Below are 21,212 nucleotides of genomic sequence, written 5' to 3'. Positions count from 1 at the left end.
CCCGCTCCCCGCCCAGATTTTCGGAACTGTTTTTGGCTTGAGAGCCGGCGGAGAGCCATGTGGCTTCTTCTCAGTGGAACATCTCCACCCTGGCTCAGTTCTCTGGCCTGTATAATGGAGTTAAGGATAAAACCCACCGCACAGGGTTGTCCTAGGTTCTTAAGGACGGGTCAAGCCTCAGAACAGTGTCCGGAGCAGAGGCCTCGTTGTGTAAATGCCAGATATTGTTATGCAGCAGCTCCAGGTCTTGGCCGACCCACTTTCCTGACTCCTACCCACTCCTCCCCACCCCCTCCCCGACGCACACCCACGGTCAGAGCCTGGGCTGGCCCTGGGCTCGTTCACGTCTACTCATGGCGCCTGCCCTGGTTGGCGATGTGTTACCAACGTCTGGCCTGTCCCAGCCCAAGGCTCCGCGTGGCGACCAGGCCCAGCACTGGGAGGCTGTGCAGAGCGTGGCGTTTACTGCTTATTGCTACTCTGCAGAGGTTGGCAACATCTGACCCGCTCTACTGGCAGGAAACAGGCTCGGGGGCATTGGGAAAACGATCAAGGCCACTTGGCTGGACACTGGCGGAGCCTCGCACTCAAACCTGTCGGGCCTCAACTCCGTGCCAGGCCAACAAGTTGCCCTGGGCAGTTCAAGCTGGGGATAAGGGGGATGGGGAGCAGGAAGACAGCAGCAAGGATGCGATCCCGAAGGAACTTTCCTCCTCAGACTGCTCCATGTCCATGTGGGGCAGGTCGCTGAAGAGTTCGAAACCGTGCTCAGCACCGCGTTTGGGGCATGTGAGACCGAGAGGCTTTGGGAAACTGACGCCGCTGTGAGAACGAGTTTAGCGGAGTCTATGGACGCTGCGAGCTTGTGGCCACAAGAGGGCGCCCCGGAGCACGGCCCAGTCCCCGCCCCCGCTGGATGGGGCCCGGCCTCTTCCCAGCGTTCCTCCTCCGGCCCCAGGTCACCGCCAGCACGCGCCTGCTTCCCGTCTGCGCGAGTCCACGCAGCTCCCCAGGTACCCGCCCTGCACTCCTGACCCTTTCTTCTCTCCAGTCAAAATCCAACCCCACCTACCCCAAGTCTTCCTTTCTCGGATCCCTGGGTCCCCTCCTTGGGAGTTGCCACCATTCCCTCCCGGTGCTCCCTTCCAGAGCTAGCGAGCCAGAACCGTAGTCCGCGGAAGCAACCTGACCGCGAGGTCAACGCGTTGGGCCCCAGGTGGCAGCGCGTTGAGCACCCCGCATCCCCGGCGGGTCGCCTTTCCCACTGGGCGCTTCGGTTTCCGCCTCTAGAAAATGGGCTTTCCGGTGTGGAAGCGCGCCTGTGGTTCCAGCTACTGGGGGTGAGCCGGGAGGATCACTTGAGCCCAGGAAGGTCAAGGCTGCAGTGATCCATGATTGCGCCACTGCACTCCAGCCTGGACGACAGAGCGAGACATCTTCTCTTAAAAAAAAAAAAAAGAAAAAAAAAAAAACCGAAGAAAATGGGCTTTTAGTTCCGGCGCGGTGGCTCACGCCTGTAATCCCAGCACTTTGGGAGGCCAAGGTGGGTGGATCACTTGAGGTCAGGAGTTCCGGACCAGCTCGGCCAACATGATGAAACCCCGTTTCTACTAAAAATATAAAAATTAGGCCGTGCACGGTGGCTCACGCCTGTAATCCCAGCACTTTGGGAGGCTGAGGCGGGCGGATCACGAGGTCAGGAGATCGAGACCACCCTGGCTAACACGGCGAAACCCCGTCTGTACTAAAAAAAAAAAAACAAAAAATTAGCCGGGCGTGGTGGCGCGTGCCTGTAGTCCCAGCTACCCGGGAGGCTGAGGCAGGAGAATGGCGTGAACCCGGGAGGCGGAGCTTGCAGTGAGCGGAGATGTGCCATTGCACTCCAGCCTGGGCGACAGAGCGAGACTCCGTCTCAAAAAAAAAAAAAAAAAAATTAGCCAGGCATGGTGACGCACGCCTGTAAACCCAGCTACTCGGGAGGCTGAGGCAGGAGAATCGCTTGAACCCAGGAGGTGGAGGTTGCAGTGAGCCGAGATCATGCCACTGCACTCCATTCTGGGCAACAAGAGTGAAACTCTGTCCCAAAATAAATAAATAGAATAAAATAAAATAAAATGGGCTTTTTACCCCAATTTGGGCTCCCTCTGGCCTGCATTGACAACTCATGACCTGTAACTTACCGTTGATTGAGCACTGAGCCCTTACTACGTGCTAGGCATGGTACATGCATGGCCTTATTTAATCCTATCAACCACCTATGAGCTAGTACTATTGAATTATCCCCATTTATAGAAAAGGATAATAACGATGAGAATAAGAACAGTAATTGTAATGGAGCCCCACCACATATTGAGGTTTTACAGCAGGCACCCCCACTGATAATTTTTCTGTTTTTTGTTTTTTTGAGATGGAGTTTTTCTCTTGTTGCCCAGTCTGGAGTGCAATGGCGCGTTCTCGGCTCACTGCAACCTCTGCCTCCTGGGTGCAAGCAATTCTACTGCCTTAGCTTCCCAAGTAGTTGGGATTACAGGCGTGTGCCACCACAGCTGGCTAATTTTGTATTTTGAGTAGAGATGGGGTTTCTTTCTGCATGTTCATCAGGGAGATCTCGAACTCCTGACCTCAGGTGATCCGCCCGCCTCGGCCTCCCAAAATGCTGGGATTACAGGCGTGTGCCACCGCGCCTGGCCTAATGAGAGTTACATGTGACCATCAGCTGGCTCTTTTTTTTTTTTTTTTTTGTGACCGAGTCTCACTCTGTCACCCAGGCTGGAGCACAGTGGCACGATCTCGGCTCACTGCAACCTCTGCCTCCCGGGTTCAAGCGATTCTCCTGCTGAGTAGCTGGGACTACAGGCACGTGCCACCACACCTGGCTAATTTTTTTTTCTTTTTAGTAGAGACGGGGTTCCACCATGTTGGCCAGGGTGGTCTTGAACTCCTGACCTCAGGTGATCCACCCGCCTCGGCCTCCCAAAGTGCTGGGATTACAGGCGTGAGCCACCATGCCTGGCCGATAATTTTTCTTAAACTTTTAATTAAATTGCTAATTCTTGAAGTTGGCTTTATTGTTCCCATATTTCAGATCAAGAAGCTGAGGCCCCAGGTTACACACTAAAGTAAATGGCAGAGGCAGAAATAACACCTATGTCCTCCTGACCCCAAGGCATGTTCTTAAAGTTCTGGAAACCTCCTGGAGGCTTCCTTGCTGCTCCTCTGGGACTGCCACCCTGGGCAGGGTGTTCTGTGGCCCCTCATCATCGTGGTTTTGAACCACAGGCCCTTCACCAGCACAGCAGCAGCAGGCATGGCAGCAAGCGTGGAGCAGCGCGAGGGCACCATCCAGGTGCAGGGCCAGGCCCTCTTCTTCCGAGAGGCCCTGCCCGGCAGTGGGCAGGCTCGCTTCTCTGTACTGCTGCTGCATGGTATTCGCTTCTCCTCCGAGACCTGGCAGAACCTGGGTACACTGCACAGGCTGGCCCAGGCTGGCTACCGGGCTGTGGCCATTGACCTGCCAGGTACTTAAGGGGCAGGCTTCTGGGCAGGGTTTGGGGAGGTCTCATTAGGGACAGGGCCAGGTTCCTATAACATGTAGCCCCTCCCCACTCCAGGGGTGGGGGCGGTGGGATCTGGAGGACCCAGCCAGGCTGGGCCCTGAACTTGACAGCGTTTGGTCAAGCACACTGCAAGGGCCTCTGAGCAGTCTTGATCCAGATGTGGTCCTCACCGCCCAGCTGCTCCTCACTGTTACCTGGGCATTGTCTCAGTGTCTCTGAGCCTCTGTTTCCTCATCTGCAATGGGAGATAACCACACTCATGTTTTGGGCTCGCTCTAATGAGAATGGAATGAGATAATCCATGTGAGTATGTGGCTAGTACCTGACACAGAGTAATCGGTGCTCAGCCAATTGGAAGTAAAGTATTTTGACTGAATAATAACCATAGGCTTTTGGAAGCCCTAAGGAGTGAGACCTGAGTCTTCTGGGGGACAAGGCAGGGCCTGGTGGGTGGCCAGGCCCCCACTTGTGATCCCACATGCAAAGCCCTGAGCTGGGTTCTAGGGTAGATGGGATCAGTGCCCAGACTGCCTGTCATAACCCAGATGGCTGGGTCCCAACCCTCGGTGCCAGGTGTGAAAGGAGCAGCATGGCTGGCCCCACCCCCTCAGGCCAGGGATGGTATGGTTTCAGGGCTCAAGGGCGAGCCTCCTGCCCAGGCAGGATTGATTCCAATGGTGGGTTGGCTTGAGCTTCAGGGTGAAGGTCTGGAGCTAATCTTGTTGGTGAAGCCTGAATGACTGGAGGAGGAGCTGCAGAACCGACCCCTCAGCTGCTGTCCTTCAGGAGCCTCTCTTGTCCCAATCCAGGGCCAGGTGCCTTTCACACAGTTAATTTTCACAACAATCTTAAATGGCAGATACTTTTGTTATCCCCCTTTAACAGATGGGGAAACTGAGCAGCTGAGAGAGGACTGAGGGGGACCTACCCAAGGTCACATAGACAATAAATGCAGAATTGGGTTCTGGACCCAGACTTCTTGGGCTTCAGAGCCTGATTCTCTCCAGGACACTTACTGCTGGGGAGACAGGCACAGACGTGGAGAGAAGTGCCTCATGCTTGGCACGATAAGATAGAATGAGGCTACTGTAGGAATAAACGTGGGCACACTGGGTGTTACAGGAACCTGGCCACAGAGAAACTGACCTAGGAGGGCTTCCTGGAGAGAGCAACCATCTCCCTTGTTTTGCCATTCACTGCCCTTGTCTTGTCTCTTTCACACCTGAATCCCTGCAGGTCTGGGGCACTCCAAGGAAGCAGCAGCCCCTGCCCCTATTGGGGAGCTGGCCCCTGGCAGCTTCCTGGCGGCTGTGGTGGATGCCTTGGAGCTGGGCCCCCCGGTTGTGATCAGTCCATCACTGAGTGGCATGTACTCCCTGCCCTTCCTCACGGCCCCTGGCTCCCAGCTCCCGGGCTTTGTGCCAGTGGCCCCCATCTGCACTGACAAAATCAATGCTGCCAACTATGCCAGTGTGAAGGTACCCTTGTGTGGGAAGCTGAGGTGCCCCTGCCAGGAGCAAGGAAGGGTGCATCCCTGGGCTTTCCTCATCTGGGGGCTGGATAATCAAGGGGTGTCTTCTGGGAGGAGCTGACCACCCAACTCCACCCTTTTGGTTTACTCAGCAGACTACTGTGCCAAGCCCTGTGCTAAACTGTGTTCTGGGGCAGACACCAATCTGTGCCCCCACCCACTGGGCCAGCTTGTCTCTCTCCCTCATATGGGGTGGTCCCAGGAAGAGACTGAAGTGGGGAGGGCTGGGGATGCTATGGCAGGTCCCTGTTGACTCTGCCCCACCCCCCTATCCTTCCTCTCAGACTCCAGCTCTGATTGTATATGGAGACCAGGACCCCATGGGTCAGACCAGCTTTGAGCACCTGAAGCAGCTGCCCAACCACCGGGTGCTGATCATGAAGGGGGCGGGGCACCCCTGTTACCTGGACAAACCAGAGGAGTGGCATACAGGGCTGCTGGACTTCCTGCAGGGGCTCCAGTGAAGCCCAGCACTGCTGCAGGGGGTGGGCTGCCTGCCTGCTCTGAGCTCTCTCTTGCACGCTCTCTCTTCTCTCCCAGGCTCTGGCTCATGCACATGCAACAGGTGCGTCTGTCTATATGTCTGGGTTCTTGTCTTTTGTGGTCTGTTTGTCTTTTCTACCTCTTTCTCTTGCAGTGATAGACTGAGGGGGTAAAATCAAGAGAAAAAACTCTCAGGAATCAAGGAACATAATCCTGTGGAGGGTAATCCATTACATGAGCTTCTCCTGTTCTTCCACTTTCCTGCCTGGCTTTCACTCCTTCCCCTGCTCTGCCCAGCCTTTCCCTCCCACCCACTCCTCCTTCTGCAAATGCCCTGAAGGCCAGCCCTTACCCCAACACCCACTTCCCCACCTCCTTAGGCCCCAGATACATACATGCCCACATGCACGCTTACATGTTTAGAGCCATCCTTGTTTCCAAATATGACCCTTCGCTTGAGGGCAACTGCATAGGTACATCTAACTCTGGACTGGCATGCACATTGTCATGTGCAGCTTTGCATATACACACATGCATACATGAGCCTCCACACAAGCACTTGCACACATGTGGACTCCTAACCATGCTAACCTCACTGGCTGGGAAGGTGGGGACCCCATGGGCCAGCCCTTGCAGGAGGCCCTTTTGCAAGGCTTAGGGTGTGGCCAGCCCTGAAAGCTACTTGGACACAGGTTTCAGCTGGCCCCAGCCCAGAAGTGACCCCCAGAAAGGGAGGGCCACCGCTTTGCCCCCTGCTTTTACCCTTCCTTCTGGGTGCTCTACACCTCAGGTTACCAGGCCTGAGGCATCTCAGCCAAGCTTGTTTCCTGCTCTGAGGCTTGTGGGGTGGGAGCCAGAGTGGAGGTCGGTGAAATAAAGTGATGCAATTAGACCCCACCGGCTCCTGCTTCTAAAGAGCGCCGCCCCTCCCCCACCCCTGGGACCAACACTGTGGGCCCCTCCCCCACCCCGGCGGGACCAGATGGTCCCCCTGCCCTTTGTCCACCAGGCCAGATGGAGAGGAAGGGAGATTGGATTCCCCTCCCCACCCACACATACCCAGGTGCCAAGAGACTCAGCTGTGGGGGGAGGTGGAGGTCAGTGGGACCAGGCTGAGCCGATTATGGAGGAGTGGGGGGGAAGGAATAGTTGCTTCCCCGAGGGCGGGGGGTGCCCAGCGGACTTGAGAACAGTTCATCACCCCCACTAGTATCCCTTCCCCAGTAAAAGACTCAACGGAGCCCGTTCCTTGCGACCCTATCCCCAAAAGGAATTCCGGGGGTAGATTTGGGGTTATCACAGGATCGGGTGCACAGGGCCACACGGCTCTCAGGCCCCTCCTCCAGCCTGTCCTGCGCGGACGAGGGCCGGGCCATGCAGCTGTGGGTGGCCGAGGAGAGCGGGTCTTGGTGGGCGCAAGCCCGAGCGGAGGATGGCGCGCAGCGAGCAGAGCCGGGAGCTAGGCGGGGCGCAGGGTCCCAGCCGGAGCTCGGAGGGACGCGGGCCGGGAGCGAGGCGGAGCCGGGGCTGGCGGGGCCAAGGCGGGGATGGGGGTGCAGGGGGCTCGGCAGAGGCGCCGGGCGGGCGGCCCGGGCCGGAAGGACTGGCCTGGCGGGAGCGGAGGGGCTTGGAGCCGGGCGCAGCGCGGGCGGTGCGGGGAAGGCCGTGGCTGGGGACCGGGCTTCAGGCCGGACGCCCCTACCCCCAACCCGTGGGGCTCTGGGAGTGGCAGGGGAAGGGTCGCCCGAGCCCTCCAGGAAGCGGCCGCCGCTCGGGGCGCACCGCGGCGCGCGGGGCGGGGCGGGCGGCTGCGGCACTGGGGCGGCTGGGGCGGGCCCGCCGCTCTGTAATCGGATCCGGGGAGGGGGCGGGGAGGGGCCGGGCCGGGCGGGCCGGGGGGTGGGGGGGGGGCGCGGAGCCGGGCTCCGGGCCGGCCGGGCTCCGCGCCTGTCAAACCCCTCATTGTTCGCAGCTGATGTCACTCGCAGTTGTGAGCGGCCGCCTCTCCCGGGGACAATGTGGGACTGAGCGGCCCAGCCGCCGTGCCGCCGCCGCCGCCGCCGCAGGACAGCCCCAGCGAGGTAGGGCGCGGGCCGGGCGGGGCACGGCGGGCCGCGAAGTTTGGGGGTTCGCCCGGGGGCAGGGAGCCCGCGCCCAGATCCCTCGGTTGGGGTCGCAGGTTTGTGAGACTGCGAGGAACACGTTCTCTGTCCCACACCGCTGAGGCCTGCACAGGTGGGAGGCGCTGGTCTGCCAGAGGCGCCCTTGGCACCAGGGAGGGGCTTCCTGGACCTTAGATCCCAGATTTGAGGCCCCCATCCCACTCGCTGTTTCTGTCCTTTGCGCCTGCTCCTCTCTCTGACTCCTGCCCTGGGTTCTGGTTCTGCTCCATCTCTGCCCTCACTTGCCACTCCCCTGTAGCTCCTGGCTGGGCACACACTCCTTCCCATCCTCCGCAGTCGTTGGGGGAGCCAGATACAGACCTCCAGGCCAGGGGTGTATGGAGATGACAGCTGGGGGCTCAGAGTGGTCCCTCTTGCCCCATAGCTCTTCAGCCCTTCAGCTCTGACCTAGCTTCTTGGCTGGGGTCCTGGGGGGTGGGGGTGGGAGGCTCTGCTACTCACTTCAGCCTGGCCCTCATGCCTGCCTGGCCAGGAGAGGGAGGTGCCCGCCTCCTCTCTCCCCTATCCCTGGCCCGCCATCTTGAGACCTGTGGCACCCAGTGCCCCACCCGGCCCCAGCACCCAGGGGAGTGGTCTCCAAGGTGATGATGCACCCAGGGCCAGTTGCATTCCTTTCTCCCCACCAAGCCCAGGATGCTCATGTTCGTGCTGAACCAGCAGGACATGTGTCCCCAGGGGCTTGCCTTCCGCCACAAAGGCTCTTACAATCCATGAACTCCCTAGGAGCTGAGCTCCTGCCCTCCCTGTTCCCTGGGTCACCCTCATTGCCTCAGGACCAGTACCTGGGACCCTATTCTTTCCCCATCTGAAAAAATCCCCTGGTCTTCCCAGGTCCTGGAGCCCCCTCAACCTCCAGGGCACCCCCATCCCAGCCCCCACCCCCTAGCCTTCATCAGCATGCAGGCTCAGGCTGCCCAAACACAAGGGGATTGTTCTTCTTGCATGCTCAGGGTGGGGGGCTGGGAGCAGGCAGCCCACACACCCTGGCAGGCCCAGGCCACGAGGAGGCTGGCTTGCCCCACCCTGTGTCCCCAGACAGGCTGTCCACCCTCCCTACTCCCATCACTGCTGCCCCTCCAGCCTCCATCACCATTGCCCAGTGGCGCTGACATCTTGAGGAAAGAGCTCTGAGCTGCACAGGTAGACCCCTGGGTTCTCCAGCTCTGCCAGTTGTCTCCCATGTAGCCTTACAAACATTTCCCTTCCTCTCTGGGCCGCGAGCCCCTCTTGTGATTGGTAAGACCTTTCCAGCTGTGACAGGCTGAGCCCAACTCGACTCTGTGAAACGTACCCCACCCCCCAGCCCTTCTTCCAGTCCCCCTCTTCCATGAGGAGACCCACTCTGCTCCCACCCTCTGAAAACCTAAAGCACAGCCCAAATCCCCCACCCCAGCAGCATACCTAGGGAGCTCCTAGTCCTGGTAAAACGGCAGGAGTAGGGCTGGGGATGCTGAGAAAGGAACCAGGAATCCTGTCCAGGCAGGTCCTACCTCTGCCCATGTGGCTGGCCCTCATGTCTGGGTCTTCTCACTCTACTCTCATTACTCCTCCGGGACCCTCAGCCCCATCTTTGGTTCCAAATGTCCCCAGGCCCCATGAACCTTAACTCTTCTCCCTGCACACTGACCCTGGTCTTGTCTCAAATTTCCTCTTTCTGGAGCTCTGTGTATAGTGGAAAGACAGGCTCAGAAATGCCCAGCGGGGACTTCTTTGAGTTGCAGCAACATCTTTGAGGGGCACAGAGGCCTGAGTGATCACATCTGACTTGGAAGCCTGCGGAGGGCTTCACAGAGGAGGTGGCGTTTGAGAAGGATTTTGACAGAGAGTGGGGAGGATGGGCGTTTTGAGCTGAGGTAAGCCTGGAGAAAGGCCCGAAGGGCTGGAGGTGCTAAGTGTGTTCTGCAGCCTGGCATGTGTGAAGGATGGGGTGGAGATGAGACAAGAGAGACAGGGGCTGGATCATGAAGGTCCTTGATGGCCTGTCTGTGGAGTTCAGGCTTTATTCTTTGGGGACTGGGCAGCCATGGGTGGCTGTTGAGCAGCAGAGTAAGCATACAGTTTTCAGCATGGAGATTGGAAGCTAGAGGCCTTTCTCAATGTAGATGAGAGAGTGAGGGGATGGGTACCATGAGGCTGTGGCCTTTCTCCTGGAGCCCAGCCTGGGCCCGGGCTTGACTTGGTTTCCCTTGGTTCCGAAGACTCCTGGGGGCTGCCTAATGATGGTGTATGGAAGCTGTAGCATTTCTGGCACCTGCCAACTTGTCAGAGCTGCCTTTCCCTTCCTGGCACTTTGTCTATGTGGCAGATCTGAATCAAGAAGCCAGAGGCTGGAACTTGTGGACCCCAGGATGCTCACCTGAGGCTTCCCACTCCCCTCCTCCTCTCCCAACTGTAGATGATTGGCTATCCCGGGAGGCTGGGAGGCCAAGAGGCTGGGCACATGTGTCCAAGATGCTGGGGCAGTTCTTATGAAGGCCTGGCTAGTTAGGAGAGTGAGCATCTCCAGAGAAGGGATTGGGCAGGAGAGTTAGGAGCCCTCGATGCAGACGTGCTGTGGCCCAGGGTCCACCCCCACCACACCCTGCCTCCCTGGATGCTCCGAGCCATTCCCCAGCATCACTGGGTGTGGCTAGCATGGCTGCTTTGGGAGTGGGAATAGGAGAAGGGGGCTGCTAGGTGGGGAGCTGGGGGTGCTGAGAGGATGTGGGGGGATGTGAGATGGAGAGTGAAGCCCAGGTGGGTCCACAGGCCCTAGCTGGTCCAGACATTCTGGCCAGCAGAGCGGAGGGAATCCCCCAAGGGGCGGGCCAGTCTACTTGAATCGCCTGGCCCCAGGAGCCCTCCCCTCCCCCGGATTGTTCTTGCTCCAGAACAAAGGCAGGGTGGACACTTGATCCCTGCATGTGGGGTGAGCTGGCTAAGCCCCCAGCCCTTTGATTGGGCAGCTGTCATGGGAGAGAGACAGCTGGGGGGGAGGGGCAGGAAGGGGGCAGCCACCATCGCTTACACAGCTGTCACCCCCCCGCCTCCTCCAGCCTGAGTGGCAGAAAGCCAGGGACAGGAGGAGTGGGCACTGGGGCTGGGGAGGGGGCCTGGGAGTCAGGAGGGAATGCCCGAGGTCAGAGGCCTGGTGTGAGCTTGGTATGCCCTGCCAGGGAGCCCTGCTGACCAGAGGGGGCTGGGCACCCGCGGAGGTGAGCTGGAGGTCACTGTGGCATGTTGTGTGGCTGCCACGTGGGTGGCCCGGCAAAGACCCAGGGCCCACCCGGCTGGAGCAGCAAATGACTCCCTAGAGCCCCACTGAGGGCAGGGGGAGCCAGTGATGCCTCATGGGGCTGCTCGTTCCTTGGGCCCTAGGAGAATAATTTGGAAGACATGGGTCAGAACCCCTTGTTCTTGCCTAAAGATGGGAAAGACCTTGAGAGTCTCTCAGACCAGGAAGGGCGCAGATAGACCAGCAACTCTCTCCCTACCCCCAGCCCCTAAACACAATACAGGTGGGTTTAGGTCAGGTGAAGACCTGGCCAAAGTTACCCACTGGACTTGGGGCGGTGGGTCTCTGCTGGAGACCCAGGCATCTTTTCATGGCAGAAGCTCTAGTTCTGGCCATGTTCCAGCCCTCCTGCCCCATTTTTCCTGGAGCCACAAGAGGTCATGTGGAGATGGTTTGGGGACAATGTCAGGTCTCCCACTGGTTACCATCCCAAGGGGGTCCTTGAACCCCAGAAAATTTTGGAACTTAAGACCGAGGCTCTGGACAAGTTGTCAGTCCTTTCCAAATAGGATCCCTGTCTTCTAGCTAGGCAAAGGTCTCAGAGACGACTGAAGCCCAATCCCCACTTTCGAAGGAGCCCGCCCTCCAGGAAGAGGACTAACAGATCCAGACAGGAGCAGCCTGAAAGGGGAGGCAGATGGGGCTTTGGATAGCCTCACACTAGCAATGCTAGTCCCACTGTGTCCCACCTCTCTGTGACCTTGGGCAGGTTACTGATCCTCTCCAGGCATCAGGTTCTCCTGTGTAGTGAATTCATCTGCTCAGCTAACCAGTATGTTAGCTGAGTTCCAGCTGAGCTCAGTATGTTCTGAGCACCTTCTCTGGCCTGGCTCTGAACTGAGCCCTGGGGACATAAGGAGAAGGCAGCAGCCTTGGCTCCTGCTCCAAGGGGCTCCTGGGCTTGGCTGTCCAGAGAAGCAGAAACCAAGCACGTCATCACAAGTGCTTTGATGGGGGAAGTGCAGGCAGCTGGGGGAATGTCTAGCAAGGGCAGCCAGCATGAGGCTGGCCAGGATGCTCGGAGAGCACAGTCCCTGCATCCACTGCTCATCTCCAGCCTCTGGAGTCCCTGTGGCAGAACTCAAATGGAAGGAGGAGCAGCTGCACCCAGGGGAGCAGGGTGTCACCTCCGTTGGATAGGTGAGGAAACAAAGACCTTATGCCATACGGTGGCTTGCTGGGACTTCTGAGAAGGAGCCAGGCTGGGAGCCCCTTTCACCTTCCGTGCTCAAGCTCTGTCTAGCAAGGGGAGTTCAGAAGAGGGCGTTGGACAGAACTCCATGCCCTTTCCTGTCATGTTGGGATGGGGCAGGGGGCTGAGGAGGAAGGCGCCCAGAGACTTCTGGAGTGTTCCAAGCTCAGCACACTCATCCTTCATCCCCACACCCTCCTGGGCATGAGGAATTTGCAGTGTTAGGGCTTGGTCTTGGCCCAGACTTAGCACCAGTTGGTCCCACTCCCTGTTTTCCCCATAGGGTTCTGGTCCCCCAGTGAGCTCCCCATCAAGGCTGAGCCTTGGCAGGAGACAGACGCCTAAGGAGAGGGATTTCCAAGCAGGATTAAGGTTGAGGATTAAGTCGGGGCATGAAAAAGGGTCGGGTGGGGAGGGCTGGCCACTGAGCTAATCCCAGCAGCTAATCTCAGGCTCCACCTTCCTCCATCAGTTAATGGCCTTGACATTCCCGCAGCCCACCAAATCCTTTTCTTACCCATCACGCAGTCCCAGGGAGAGGTATTCCCTCCATTTTATAAGTGAGGAAATTGAGACTCAGAGCCCAAGTGACTTGTTTCTGGTACAGTAGAAAGTGTTCCAGGCTGGGAATGTGGCCAGCCTGGACACTTCTTACCTCCTGTTCCCAAGGCCATTTCCAGCACATAGAAGAGAGATTGGAAACCAACGTGCAGAACTGCCAGTCCCCTGACACGCTGTGCCCCACCCACTGCAGCCCAGTGCTGAATGAACCCTGCCCAGAGGTGTCTGTAGTGAGCTTCTGCCCTAGTGACTTTTGGTAGGTGGGAGTGTGCCTCAATTCCCCCCTCAACCCCTGCCTCAAGCCTTTACCAGGCAGTGGCAAGACCTGACCACACCCGAGGCCTCCCTGCCTTCAAGGCTTCCCATGGCTGCTCCAGCTTCCTCCCCAGCTGCTCTTCTGTGCTCCATCCACCATCTGGCTGCTGGACGAAAGTGCCTCTCATATGGAGTAAGCTTTCAGCCTGAACTCCACCTTCAGGGCCCCATCCACAGAGGTTACCTCTTCCAAGAGGTCAGGGAGGAGGCTCTCCTCCTGACTCCCATAGGCTTCCTAGTTAATTATTTCTTTTAGTGTCTCAGGGTAAGGGAAAGGCTAGGTACCTACCATGTATGTGCTTATTGTTTTAATTCTCATCACTCTTTGGAGATGGGAATTTGTATCCCCTTCTACAGATGGAGAAGCTGAGGCTCAGAGGGTTGAATGGGCTCCCCAGGCTTACACAGCTCGTGAGACACACATAAGCACCCTGGTCAGAGTGATGTGTGGCGCTCAAGGTCCATGCAGTCTCTTTCCTCTGGGAGTTTGACTAGCCCAGCTCTGGGGTCCCCATGTAAGGGCAGGGGCAGGGTGGACTGGGCTCCTCTCGAACCCCTCTTTGGCTGCCCCTGCCAGAGCCGGCCAGGTTGCAGCGCGGACACACTCGCAGGTCGCTGTGGCCCCAGCCTCGCCTGACAGAATGAGCGGCTCGGACGGGGGACTGGAGGAGGAGCCAGAGCTCAGCATCACCCTCACGCTGCGGATGCTGATGCACGGGAAGGTGAGCGGGAGGTGGAGGGCCAGGCGAGGCAAGGCTGGGCTGGGCTGGGTTTCACTGGGTATCCCAGTGGGGAGGGGCTGGGCCTGGGCACTGGCACCCATCTGACGGCTCTTGTCTTGTCCGCAGGAAGTGGGCAGCATCATCGGGAAGGTAGGTGCCTAGCTCTGCTCTGTACATCCCCCTCCAGCTGAGGCTTCAGCCCAGGGAAGGAGGCTGTGACCTCTAAGTTAAGAGTGATTATCTGTTTTGTACCTCCCACAGAAGGGCGAGACTGTAAAGCGAATCCGGGAGCAGGTGAGGATGGAGTTTGGGGGAGGAGCCCAGGGCACCTGATGTGGAGGGGAGATCCCTGCCCCACTTTCTCTCTGAACCACTCCTTCTGGGCTGACCAGTGAGTCCCCCAGAGGGTGGCAGTTTTGAGCCTTGCCTCAGGCCTGGTGAGTGGGGCAGGCAGACAAGTTCCGGCAAGGGAGCAGGGAAGATGCCCCGCTGCCCGGCGCTCATTCTATATCTGCAGAGCAGTGCCCGGATCACCATCTCCGAGGGCTCCTGCCCTGAACGCATCACCACCATCACCGGGTCTACAGCAGCTGTCTTCCATGCAGTCTCCATGATTGCTTTCAAACTGGATGAGGTCCGTGGCTGGCCAGGGCAGGACGCCAAGAGTGGTTCCCCAGGAGGAACCCAACTCTGACTCCAGATAGTGGCTATGGGTGGGAGGGGAGGTCAAGCCCAGGGCAGTGTTCCCTTGAAGTGGGACTGGGGAAAGGGTACCCTCCTGACCCCTGGGCAGATATAGCAGGGACGAGCATGGCCAACCCACCGTCTCCCTGTCCCAGGACCTTTGTGCTGCTCCTGCAAATGGTGGAAATGTCTCCAGGCCTCCAGTGACCCTGCGCCTTGTCATCCCTGCCAGTCAGTGTGGCTCACTGATTGGGAAGGCTGGCACCAAGATCAAGGAGATCCGAGAGGTGAGGGGCGAGATATACCACCCACAGGGAATCCGGGGCAAGGGAGCAGTTGTAAGAGGGGTGTTGGGCTTATGGCGTCCTCCCCACCTAGAGAGCTCTGAGCCTGGGCAGCCCTTTTCTGGGTTATGGGAGCAGCCAGAAGTGGCCCCTGTTCTCTGTTTGCAGACTACGGGTGCCCAGGTACAGGTGGCAGGGGACCTGCTCCCCAACTCCACAGAGCGAGCTGTTACGGTATCTGGGGTGCCTGATGCCATCATCCTGTGTGTGCGCCAGATCTGCGCTGTTATCCTGGAGGTGCTGCCCTGGGGCAGGGAGAGAGGGGGCAGGAGATGGGCCCTGGGTCTGCCTTGTCGGGGACCCCAAACCCTATGCCTGTGCTGCAGGTGGGGCAGGGCAGGGCTGCAGGGATGGATGATGAGCTCCAGGGATCATGTGCATTTCCCTGGGGGTCATGGTGGGGGCCTGAGGCCACTGGGCAGCTGGGGAGGTTATCGGAGCCTGAGAGGGTCCTGACAGAGCCCTGTTTATGCCTTCCAGTCCCCACCCAAAGGAGCCACTATCCCCTACCATCCGAGCCTCTCCCTAGGTACTGTTCTTCTCTCTGCCAACCAGGTGAGGGGAACAACAGGAGCAGTGGGACACATTACTGGAGAAGGGGGATTGAGATAGAGGAGGGGATGGAAGAAGGAATTGGAGGTCCAGGGACGGGGGAAGGAGTGACTCTGGCTGAACTGCAATGTCACAGTAACCCCCTTTTCATCCACTTTGTCCCCACAGGGCTTCTCTGTCCAGGGTCAGTATGGGGCTGTGACCCCAGCTGAGGTGAGTGACCCATAGCCCAAGGCACCCCTTCCTGAACCATGCCTCCTCTGACCTCTGACCCCTCTTTGGCACAGGTCACCAAGCTCCAGCAGCTCTCAAGCCATGCGGTCCCCTTTGCCACACCCAGCGTGGTGCCAGGTAAGCCACCCCTGCACAAGGAGGCAGGGGGAGGGTCCTAAGAGGGCAGCCCCCTCCCTTCCAGGGAGAGTGGAAATGGTGGGGCGGGAAAGGCCCAGAACCACACTCAGTCCCTCTTCTCCCCCTCAGGACTGGATCCCGGCACACAGACCAGCTCACAGGAGTTCTTGGTTCCCAACGATGTGAGCAGGGGATGGGATGGCTGGAGGGTGGGTAGGGGGTCTGGGGGTCTGGACCTCACCCAGGGCTGAATTCTGCCTTCCCTCTAGTTGATTGGCTGTGTGATCGGGCGCCAGGGCAGCAAGATCAGCGAGATCCGGCAGATGTCAGGGGCACATATCAAGATCGGGAACCAAGCAGAGGGCGCTGGGGAGCGGCATGTCACCATCACTGGCTCTCCGGTCTCCATCGCCCTGGCCCAGTACCTCATCACTGCCTGGTGAGCGCGGGCTGGGCGGCAGTGGGGGAGCAGGTCACGGTTCTCATGTGCCCAAGAAAGGCAGGGGTGGGGAGAGGAAGCTGGCCTCCTCTCTCTGTCTGGGCCCGACCTCTGCCTCTCCTAACCCTACTCCAATTCCCCATGGTCTTTGCCTAATTCACCCTCTGTTGCCCCATCTCCCCCCTCTATATCCACCTCTCATTCTCCATTGCTGTGTCTTTTCCCTGGGTCTCTGGCCACCCCATTTCTCCCTGCACCTCGTGCTATATCTGCTTGTCCTTTCTTCCCTTCCTCTTCCACCTTTCCCATCTTCCCCTTATTGTTCTCTGTTCACTACCTCTCTCTTGCCTTTCATCTAATCTCATGCCCATCTCTGCCCTCATTGCCCCTCTCTCACTCCCACTTTCCCCTTTGTCTCCCCTCTATATCCCTCTCTCCAGTCTAGAGACGGCCAAGTCTACCTCTGGGGGGACGCCCAGCTCGGCCCCCGCAGACCTGCCTGCCCCCTTCTCGCCACCCCTGACGGCCCTGCCCACAGCTCCCCCTGGCCTGCTGGGCACACCCTATGCCATCTCCCTCTCCAACTTCATCGGCCTCAAGCCCATGCCCTTCTTGGCTTTACCACCTGCTTCCCCAGGGCCGCCGCCGGGCTTGGCGGCCTACACTGCCAAGATGGCAGCAGCTAATGGGAGCAAGAAGGCTGAGCGGCAGAAATTCTCCCCCTACTGAGGCCAGCTGAGGTACAGGCAGGGGCAGGCAGGACCACCAGCAGGGGGCTGCCTCTGCACCCTACCCGCCCAAGGAGACTCCACCCTGGGGTCCCAAACGCCGCTAACGCCCAGACGCATGGATGCACCCCCTACCCTGCCTCCATCTATGGGAGTTCTTTCTCTCAGAGTGGGGGCAGTTTCTGGCCCAGGGGTCTGAGCTGCGGCAGCCCCAGGGCAGGGGGCCCTACCTCCTCAGCTCTGTGCTTGGATACAGGGAGCAGCCAGGAGACTCCCTAGTGCCCCCACCATGGCGGGTGTCACTCACGCACTCCCCATCCCTTAGGGCTTCCTGGCCTACTGCATCCTTGTGGGAGTCAGGGAGGAGGGCCCGTTGGGTAGCTGGGGCCAGGCTTCTCTCCCCACCACCTGCAGATTTCTTGCTGCTTCCACTGATACCCTTTTGACTGGAATGAACTGGCTGGGCTTGTCAGGGGGCACCCCAAAGAGGGGGCACTGCCAGGTAGCTGGGGGAGTGGCATGGGGCAGGGGCCCAGTTCTCAGCAGCAGACACTCTGTACAGTTTTTTCAATCCCTGTTTTTGAATAAATATTCTCAGCGACCAGGAAGTTGTGAAATACTGGTGTTGTGGGCAGCAAAACCTCCAGAAAATGGGTGCAGCTGAGGTCCTGGAGGACCCCCATGTGTGAATCCACCAACCTCAATTAGGCCTCAGCCCCTTCCACATGCCAGTTCTGGGGCTTCAGGACCCTTTGGGGGTGAAGTCGTCCAGCCTCCTACTTCTAATACCAAACTGGTCCAGTTGTCTTCTGGGCATTTTAGAAGCAGGTGGAGGAGTTTCAGTAGCTTTGTCCAGACTCTCCTTGGTGCAGATGTCAGGGAAGTCCTTCTGAGTGTCTCTCCAGTGGTTCTTCCTGCTGTGGCTGTAACCCAGATACTGCCCTGCTTGGCGGATCACTTTGGTTGTGAGCCCTTAGGGCCCTCTTCTTTGTGACACCTGCCCATCTTGGCCTGGGGACCACCTGTGAGTTTCACAAACCACCTATGCTGGAGGGGCCCTTAGAGATGCTGCAGGGTGCAGATGGGAAAGCTGAGGCCTAAGGAAGGGTCGGCCTATGCACAGTGCTATGCAGTGTTGGGCCCAGACCGCAGGATTCCTGGCTCTCAGAAGTCCGTGGGCCTCACCAGGCAGCAGACACCCTTTCTCCTCCTGTTCCAGACCCAGATATCCAGCAGGGCACCTGCTGTGACCTGTGCAGGGGTTGGATGAGCCCCCACGGAAACCACCCTCCTTTCTCCTGCTCAGGAGAGAGAACTCTCAGGTGGCCCCTGGTATGCGGGGCTCCGCCCTCCTGCCAACTCGGGGGTCTGTTCTGGAGCCTCAGAAGGGCCTACGGCAGGGCCCTCTGGGGGTCTCTGGAGGCATTGCAAGAGTGCCCGCGGGTGCCAGGCTTGCGGAGTGCAGGCCCGCACAGGTCCAGGCAGTGCACGGCGAGAGAGGCGGCCCAGTGCCAAGCGCACGGGGCGCTGCAGCAGCCCGTACAGGAAGGGGTGAGCCGCGAAGGCCGAGTAGGCGACCCAGGTGACAGCCGCTTCGGCTTCCGCGGCCCGCGCTGCGGGCGCCAGGCACGCGCAGCCATAAGGCAGCCAGCAGGCTGCAAATTGGCCCACGGCCAGCGCTGGGGCCAGGGCCGCCTTGCCCCCGGGCAGGCGAGGCCGGAGCGGCGGCAAGATGGAAAGGCGGCTATCCAGAGAGTCCGAGTGGAGTCGGGACCCGCGCGCCGGCCGTGGGGGCCTCAGGGCAGCGCGACGCGCCACCACGAAGATGCCGCCGTAGGCGCCGAGCAGCAGGAGGGCGGGCAGCGCGAAGGCCAGCAGGGCCCAGAGCGGCCGGAAGGGCCCGAGGCCCCCAGCCAGGACCGAGCAGCGAGCAGGAGCAGGGGGCGGTGCGGGCGGCGTGCCGAGCAGGGAGAGCGCGCCCAGCAGTCCCGCCGCGGCCCACACGGCGGTGAGCACGAGCACAGGCGGCGGCCGCGAGCCTGGCCGCAGCGGGTGCACGATGAGGCGGTAGCGTGCCAGGCCAAGTGCGGCCACCCCGAGCGTGCAGGCCGGCAGCAGAGCGGCGGAGAGGAAGCGAGCGGCGCGGCATGGCGCGGGGCCCAGGCGCACGCGGCCCAGCCCGGGCGGCGGTGCGGCCAGCAGGCCCAGCGGCATGATGGAGGCGGCCGCCAGCAGGTCCACGACGCACAGGTGCGCCAGGTAGAGCGCGTCGCGCAGTCCCGGCGTGCGCAGCACCACGACCAGCAGCGCGCCGTTGCCCAGCAGTGCCCCCACCTCCACGACAGCTGCCAGGATCAACCCCAACGAGCCTGCGACTTCTGAGGCGTTCAGCCCTGTGGAGTTGGCCATTTGGGCTCTCAGGCTTCACCCTGCGCTGGGATGTAGATGGCAGAATGGAGCCTAAAGCTGCAGGATTTCCATCACCTGTCCTCTGCTCCTCTTGTCCCTTGCTCCTCCGGCCCCTCACCTCATTGGCTGCCCAGGAGGTGGCTCCGACGCCCAGGCTGCCATCCTCTTGGGGGCTTGGCCAGGCCCATGGAGGGGTGCAAGGATGAGTCTGCTGTCTTTCTCCCCTGCCCCAGCCCAGCTCCAGCAACTCAGCCCCTGTCGGAGATGGTACTGGCTGTCACTCTGATGTTGCCACACACGGCTGGCAAGGGAGGGGCAGGGCCTGGCGCCAGCCCCCTGGGTCCTAGCAGCTGCCAGCTGAAGGCTGGAGGCTCTGCTGTGGAAGTGCTTGGGGGTGCCTCTAGGGTGGAGGGGTGGAGGACAGAGCAGGCACAGACTTGGAGCCTAGACTTGAGAGGGTTAGAGTGTGGGCTTTGGAGTCAGCCAGAGCCTGCTCTACCTTTCTCAGTGGTGAGAAGTGCCCCCCCCATCTCCTGTCCTGCCCCATCCTCATCAATGGGATGAGCATTTAGCTCTCATATTAAAGGGAAACTGAGGTACCAGTGAGACAAAAGCTGAAGCAGGAGGACCCTTAGGCATGCCCTGGCCCCCCAAGAGGGCTAGTTCTCTCAGAAAGAAAGGAGGCTGGAAAAGTGAGAGAAAAGCATAGAACGTGGCACATAGTAGGTGCTCAGCTAATATTAACTTCATAGAGAATAGGTGCTCCATGATAGTGTGTGAGATGAGTGAGAGGAGGCCTTAGCAGGCAGATGCTGTTTGGTTTTTTGTTGCTGTTGTTTGCTTTTGTTTTTGCTGCTAGCAAACAGGTCCCCTTTTGGTAACAGCACCCTGAATTTTCTTTCCTTTTTTTTTTTTTTTGAGACAGGGTCTCTGTTGCCCAGGCTGGAATGCAGTGGCACAATCTTGGCTCACTGTAATCTCTGCCTCCCAGGCTCAAACGATCCTCCCACCTCAGCCTCCTGAGTAGCTGGAACTACAGGCACGAGCCACCACACCTGGCTAAACACCCTGAATTTTCTTTAGGAAACCACCCCTCCCCAATTCTCAGGACAGGAAATTTGGGTGAACAAGATCCCCACACTCTATTTTCCTGATTAGGCACAAAACCCAGTCTTGACTAATCAGTGAATGTCAGGGTTCCCCACCCCAATGTCGTTGGCTCATGGAAAGCCATGTAACTCCCGTGGGGCATATGCCCCCAGGCAAAGTCACCCAGTTTCATGGCAAAACCCTATCTATAGTCTGATAGCTTGCATTTGTATCTGAAGCCTCTTCCTCTTTTCACGGGTATCCAGCTGCCTTTTCAACATTTCCCCACCAGGACTTTCACTAATGGGTATCTCAAACTTCCTATGTCCAAAACAGAACCATGACTCTTGATCCCTCCCCGACAACCTGCTCCTCCCAGAATCTTCTCCATCTTAGTGTCCATCTCAGGATGATTCCCTCTCCCCCACGCCCTATATCCAGTCCGCTGAGGTCTCTGGAATCCTGCCATTTCTCACCATCACCATCAAGCTGGTCCCAGCTACCACCACCTCTCACCTGGACCATTTCAGCATCCTTCTAACTGGTCTCCCGGCCTCAGCTCCTGCACCTTGTGCTGGCCATCTGCCTGTTTGCCCTCAGATTCATTCCCTTCTTCCCCAGTGCTATACTGCCTTCCTGGGAACTGTATTTCCCAGGCTCCTTTGTCAACTGACTTTGGGTATGTTCAGCCAATGAAAGTTACCAGCAGAAGACTGGCAGATGGGAGGAGGGAAGAAGCCAGGATTTATTTCCCTCTGAAGCTCAGCCAGGGGCTCCCTTCAGGTGGCCCCCTCTGTG

General features: G+C 59.1%; 3 protein-coding genes across 22 annotated transcripts, besides 14 other annotated features; 2 read left to right on the top strand and 1 right to left on the bottom strand.

The window, feature by feature from the left end:
* On the top strand, positions 348 to 6,468 carry ABHD14B (abhydrolase domain containing 14B). 3 transcript variants are annotated; one of them, NM_001146314.2, is made up of 4 exons: positions 929 to 1,013; positions 3,280 to 3,518; positions 4,794 to 5,035; positions 5,373 to 6,463. In NM_001146314.2, the coding sequence occupies exons 2-4, from the start codon at positions 3,308 to 3,310 to the stop codon at positions 5,550 to 5,552; spliced, it is 633 nt and encodes a 210-aa protein (NP_001139786.1). In that variant the 5' UTR covers positions 929 to 1,013; positions 3,280 to 3,307; the 3' UTR covers positions 5,553 to 6,463. The 3 variants fall into 3 exon arrangements, with proteins under 3 accessions (NP_001241682.1, NP_001139786.1, NP_116139.1); NM_032750.3 differs by having other exon boundaries at positions 3,086 to 3,518; NM_001254753.1 differs by lacking the exon at positions 3,280 to 3,518 and having other exon boundaries at positions 348 to 1,013; positions 5,373 to 6,468.
* Positions 591 to 770: an enhancer, noted in NCBI's record as "active region_19922". NCBI's record gives its function as "activates an Ori minimal core promoter by ATAC-STARR-seq in GM12878 lymphoblastoid cells {active_cell/tissue: GM12878}" and the evidence as "EXISTENCE:reporter gene assay evidence [ECO:0000049][PMID:35858748]".
* Positions 804 to 1,740: an enhancer, noted in NCBI's record as "H3K27ac-H3K4me1 hESC enhancer chr3:52007254-52008190 (GRCh37/hg19 assembly coordinates)". NCBI's record gives its function as "activates a minimal SCP1, AML or CMV promoter by ChIP-STARR-seq in naive H9 embryonic stem cells {active_cell/tissue: H9 hESC(naive)}" and the evidence as "EXISTENCE:reporter gene assay evidence [ECO:0000049][PMID:30033119]".
* Positions 821 to 990: a silencer, noted in NCBI's record as "silent region_14423". NCBI's record gives its function as "represses an Ori minimal core promoter by ATAC-STARR-seq in GM12878 lymphoblastoid cells {active_cell/tissue: GM12878}" and the evidence as "EXISTENCE:reporter gene assay evidence [ECO:0000049][PMID:35858748]".
* Positions 1,211 to 1,360: a silencer, noted in NCBI's record as "silent region_14422". NCBI's record gives its function as "represses an Ori minimal core promoter by ATAC-STARR-seq in GM12878 lymphoblastoid cells {active_cell/tissue: GM12878}" and the evidence as "EXISTENCE:reporter gene assay evidence [ECO:0000049][PMID:35858748]".
* Positions 5,868 to 6,429: an enhancer, noted in NCBI's record as "H3K27ac-H3K4me1 hESC enhancer chr3:52002565-52003126 (GRCh37/hg19 assembly coordinates)". NCBI's record gives its function as "activates a minimal SCP1, AML or CMV promoter by ChIP-STARR-seq in naive H9 embryonic stem cells {active_cell/tissue: H9 hESC(naive)}" and the evidence as "EXISTENCE:reporter gene assay evidence [ECO:0000049][PMID:30033119]".
* Positions 6,430 to 6,993: an enhancer, noted in NCBI's record as "H3K27ac-H3K4me1 hESC enhancer chr3:52002001-52002564 (GRCh37/hg19 assembly coordinates)". NCBI's record gives its function as "activates a minimal SCP1, AML or CMV promoter by ChIP-STARR-seq in primed H9 embryonic stem cells {active_cell/tissue: H9 hESC(primed)}" and the evidence as "EXISTENCE:reporter gene assay evidence [ECO:0000049][PMID:30033119]".
* Positions 6,430 to 7,034: a biological region, named in NCBI's record as "H3K27ac-H3K4me1 hESC enhancer GRCh37_chr3:52002001-52002564".
* Positions 6,955 to 7,034: a silencer, noted in NCBI's record as "silent region_14421". NCBI's record gives its function as "represses an Ori minimal core promoter by ATAC-STARR-seq in GM12878 lymphoblastoid cells {active_cell/tissue: GM12878}" and the evidence as "EXISTENCE:reporter gene assay evidence [ECO:0000049][PMID:35858748]".
* Positions 7,065 to 7,344: a silencer, noted in NCBI's record as "silent region_14420". NCBI's record gives its function as "represses an Ori minimal core promoter by ATAC-STARR-seq in GM12878 lymphoblastoid cells {active_cell/tissue: GM12878}" and the evidence as "EXISTENCE:reporter gene assay evidence [ECO:0000049][PMID:35858748]".
* Positions 7,355 to 7,464: a silencer, noted in NCBI's record as "silent region_14419". NCBI's record gives its function as "represses an Ori minimal core promoter by ATAC-STARR-seq in GM12878 lymphoblastoid cells {active_cell/tissue: GM12878}" and the evidence as "EXISTENCE:reporter gene assay evidence [ECO:0000049][PMID:35858748]".
* On the top strand, positions 7,512 to 17,524 carry PCBP4 (poly(rC) binding protein 4). 18 transcript variants are annotated; one of them, XM_047448614.1, is made up of 15 exons: positions 7,512 to 7,652; positions 12,086 to 12,168; positions 12,890 to 13,229; positions 13,674 to 13,818; positions 13,945 to 13,968; positions 14,080 to 14,112; positions 14,336 to 14,452; positions 14,658 to 14,789; positions 14,955 to 15,083; positions 15,327 to 15,401; positions 15,567 to 15,611; positions 15,686 to 15,749; positions 15,879 to 15,931; positions 16,019 to 16,188; positions 16,629 to 17,524. In XM_047448614.1, the coding sequence occupies exons 3-15, from the start codon at positions 13,225 to 13,227 to the stop codon at positions 16,915 to 16,917; spliced, it is 1,281 nt and encodes a 426-aa protein (XP_047304570.1). In that variant the 5' UTR covers positions 7,512 to 7,652; positions 12,086 to 12,168; positions 12,890 to 13,224; the 3' UTR covers positions 16,918 to 17,524. The 18 variants fall into 18 exon arrangements, with proteins under 18 accessions (XP_047304570.1, XP_047304568.1, NP_001350814.1 ...); XM_047448615.1 differs by having other exon boundaries at positions 7,524 to 7,806; XM_047448613.1 differs by lacking the exon at positions 7,512 to 7,652 and adding an exon at positions 7,702 to 9,607.
* Positions 7,565 to 7,834: a silencer, noted in NCBI's record as "silent region_14418". NCBI's record gives its function as "represses an Ori minimal core promoter by ATAC-STARR-seq in GM12878 lymphoblastoid cells {active_cell/tissue: GM12878}" and the evidence as "EXISTENCE:reporter gene assay evidence [ECO:0000049][PMID:35858748]".
* Positions 8,120 to 8,681: an enhancer, noted in NCBI's record as "H3K4me1 hESC enhancer chr3:52000313-52000874 (GRCh37/hg19 assembly coordinates)". NCBI's record gives its function as "activates a minimal SCP1, AML or CMV promoter by ChIP-STARR-seq in naive H9 embryonic stem cells {active_cell/tissue: H9 hESC(naive)}" and the evidence as "EXISTENCE:reporter gene assay evidence [ECO:0000049][PMID:30033119]".
* Positions 8,682 to 9,245: an enhancer, noted in NCBI's record as "H3K4me1 hESC enhancer chr3:51999749-52000312 (GRCh37/hg19 assembly coordinates)". NCBI's record gives its function as "activates a minimal SCP1, AML or CMV promoter by ChIP-STARR-seq in naive H9 embryonic stem cells {active_cell/tissue: H9 hESC(naive)}" and the evidence as "EXISTENCE:reporter gene assay evidence [ECO:0000049][PMID:30033119]".
* Positions 17,479 to 19,597, bottom strand: GPR62 (G protein-coupled receptor 62). The gene has a single exon (NM_080865.4). It carries the CDS (start codon positions 19,323 to 19,325, stop codon positions 18,219 to 18,221), a length of 1,107 nt encoding a protein of 368 aa, NP_543141.3. The 5' UTR covers positions 19,326 to 19,597; the 3' UTR covers positions 17,479 to 18,218.
* Positions 18,349 to 18,937: an enhancer, noted in NCBI's record as "H3K27ac-H3K4me1 hESC enhancer chr3:51990057-51990645 (GRCh37/hg19 assembly coordinates)". NCBI's record gives its function as "activates a minimal SCP1, AML or CMV promoter by ChIP-STARR-seq in naive H9 embryonic stem cells {active_cell/tissue: H9 hESC(naive)}" and the evidence as "EXISTENCE:reporter gene assay evidence [ECO:0000049][PMID:30033119]".
* Positions 19,598 to 21,212: the final 1,615 nt, after the last annotated feature.

This window comes from Homo sapiens, chromosome 3, assembly GCF_000001405.40.
Source record: "Homo sapiens chromosome 3, GRCh38.p14 Primary Assembly".
Taxonomy (NCBI): Eukaryota; Metazoa; Chordata; class Mammalia; order Primates; family Hominidae; genus Homo; species Homo sapiens.
This window is presented reverse-complemented; position numbering and strand designations above follow the sequence as displayed.

What these genes read in the sequence shown, in the direction of transcription:
- ABHD14B (NM_001146314.2), top strand. Translation starts at nt 3,308, where the DNA reads ATGGCAGCAAGCGTGGAGCAGCGCGAGGGCACCATCCAGGTGCAGGGC. An exon ending in TGTGGCCATTGACCTGCCAG is followed by an intron (nt 3,519 to 4,793) that starts GTACTTAAGGGG and finishes GAATCCCTGCAG; the next exon opens with GTCTGGGGCACTCCAAGGAA. An exon ending in CCAACTATGCCAGTGTGAAG is followed by an intron (nt 5,036 to 5,372) that starts GTACCCTTGTGT and finishes CCTTCCTCTCAG; the next exon opens with ACTCCAGCTCTGATTGTATA.
- PCBP4 (XM_047448612.1), top strand. An exon ending in TGGGCAGCATCATCGGGAAG is followed by an intron (nt 13,969 to 14,079) that starts GTAGGTGCCTAG and finishes TACCTCCCACAG; the next exon opens with AAGGGCGAGACTGTAAAGCG. An exon ending in TAAAGCGAATCCGGGAGCAG is followed by an intron (nt 14,113 to 14,335) that starts GTGAGGATGGAG and finishes CTATATCTGCAG; the next exon opens with AGCAGTGCCCGGATCACCAT.
- GPR62 (NM_080865.4), bottom strand. Translation starts at nt 19,325, where the DNA reads ATGGCCAACTCCACAGGGCTGAACGCCTCAGAAGTCGCAGGCTCGTTG.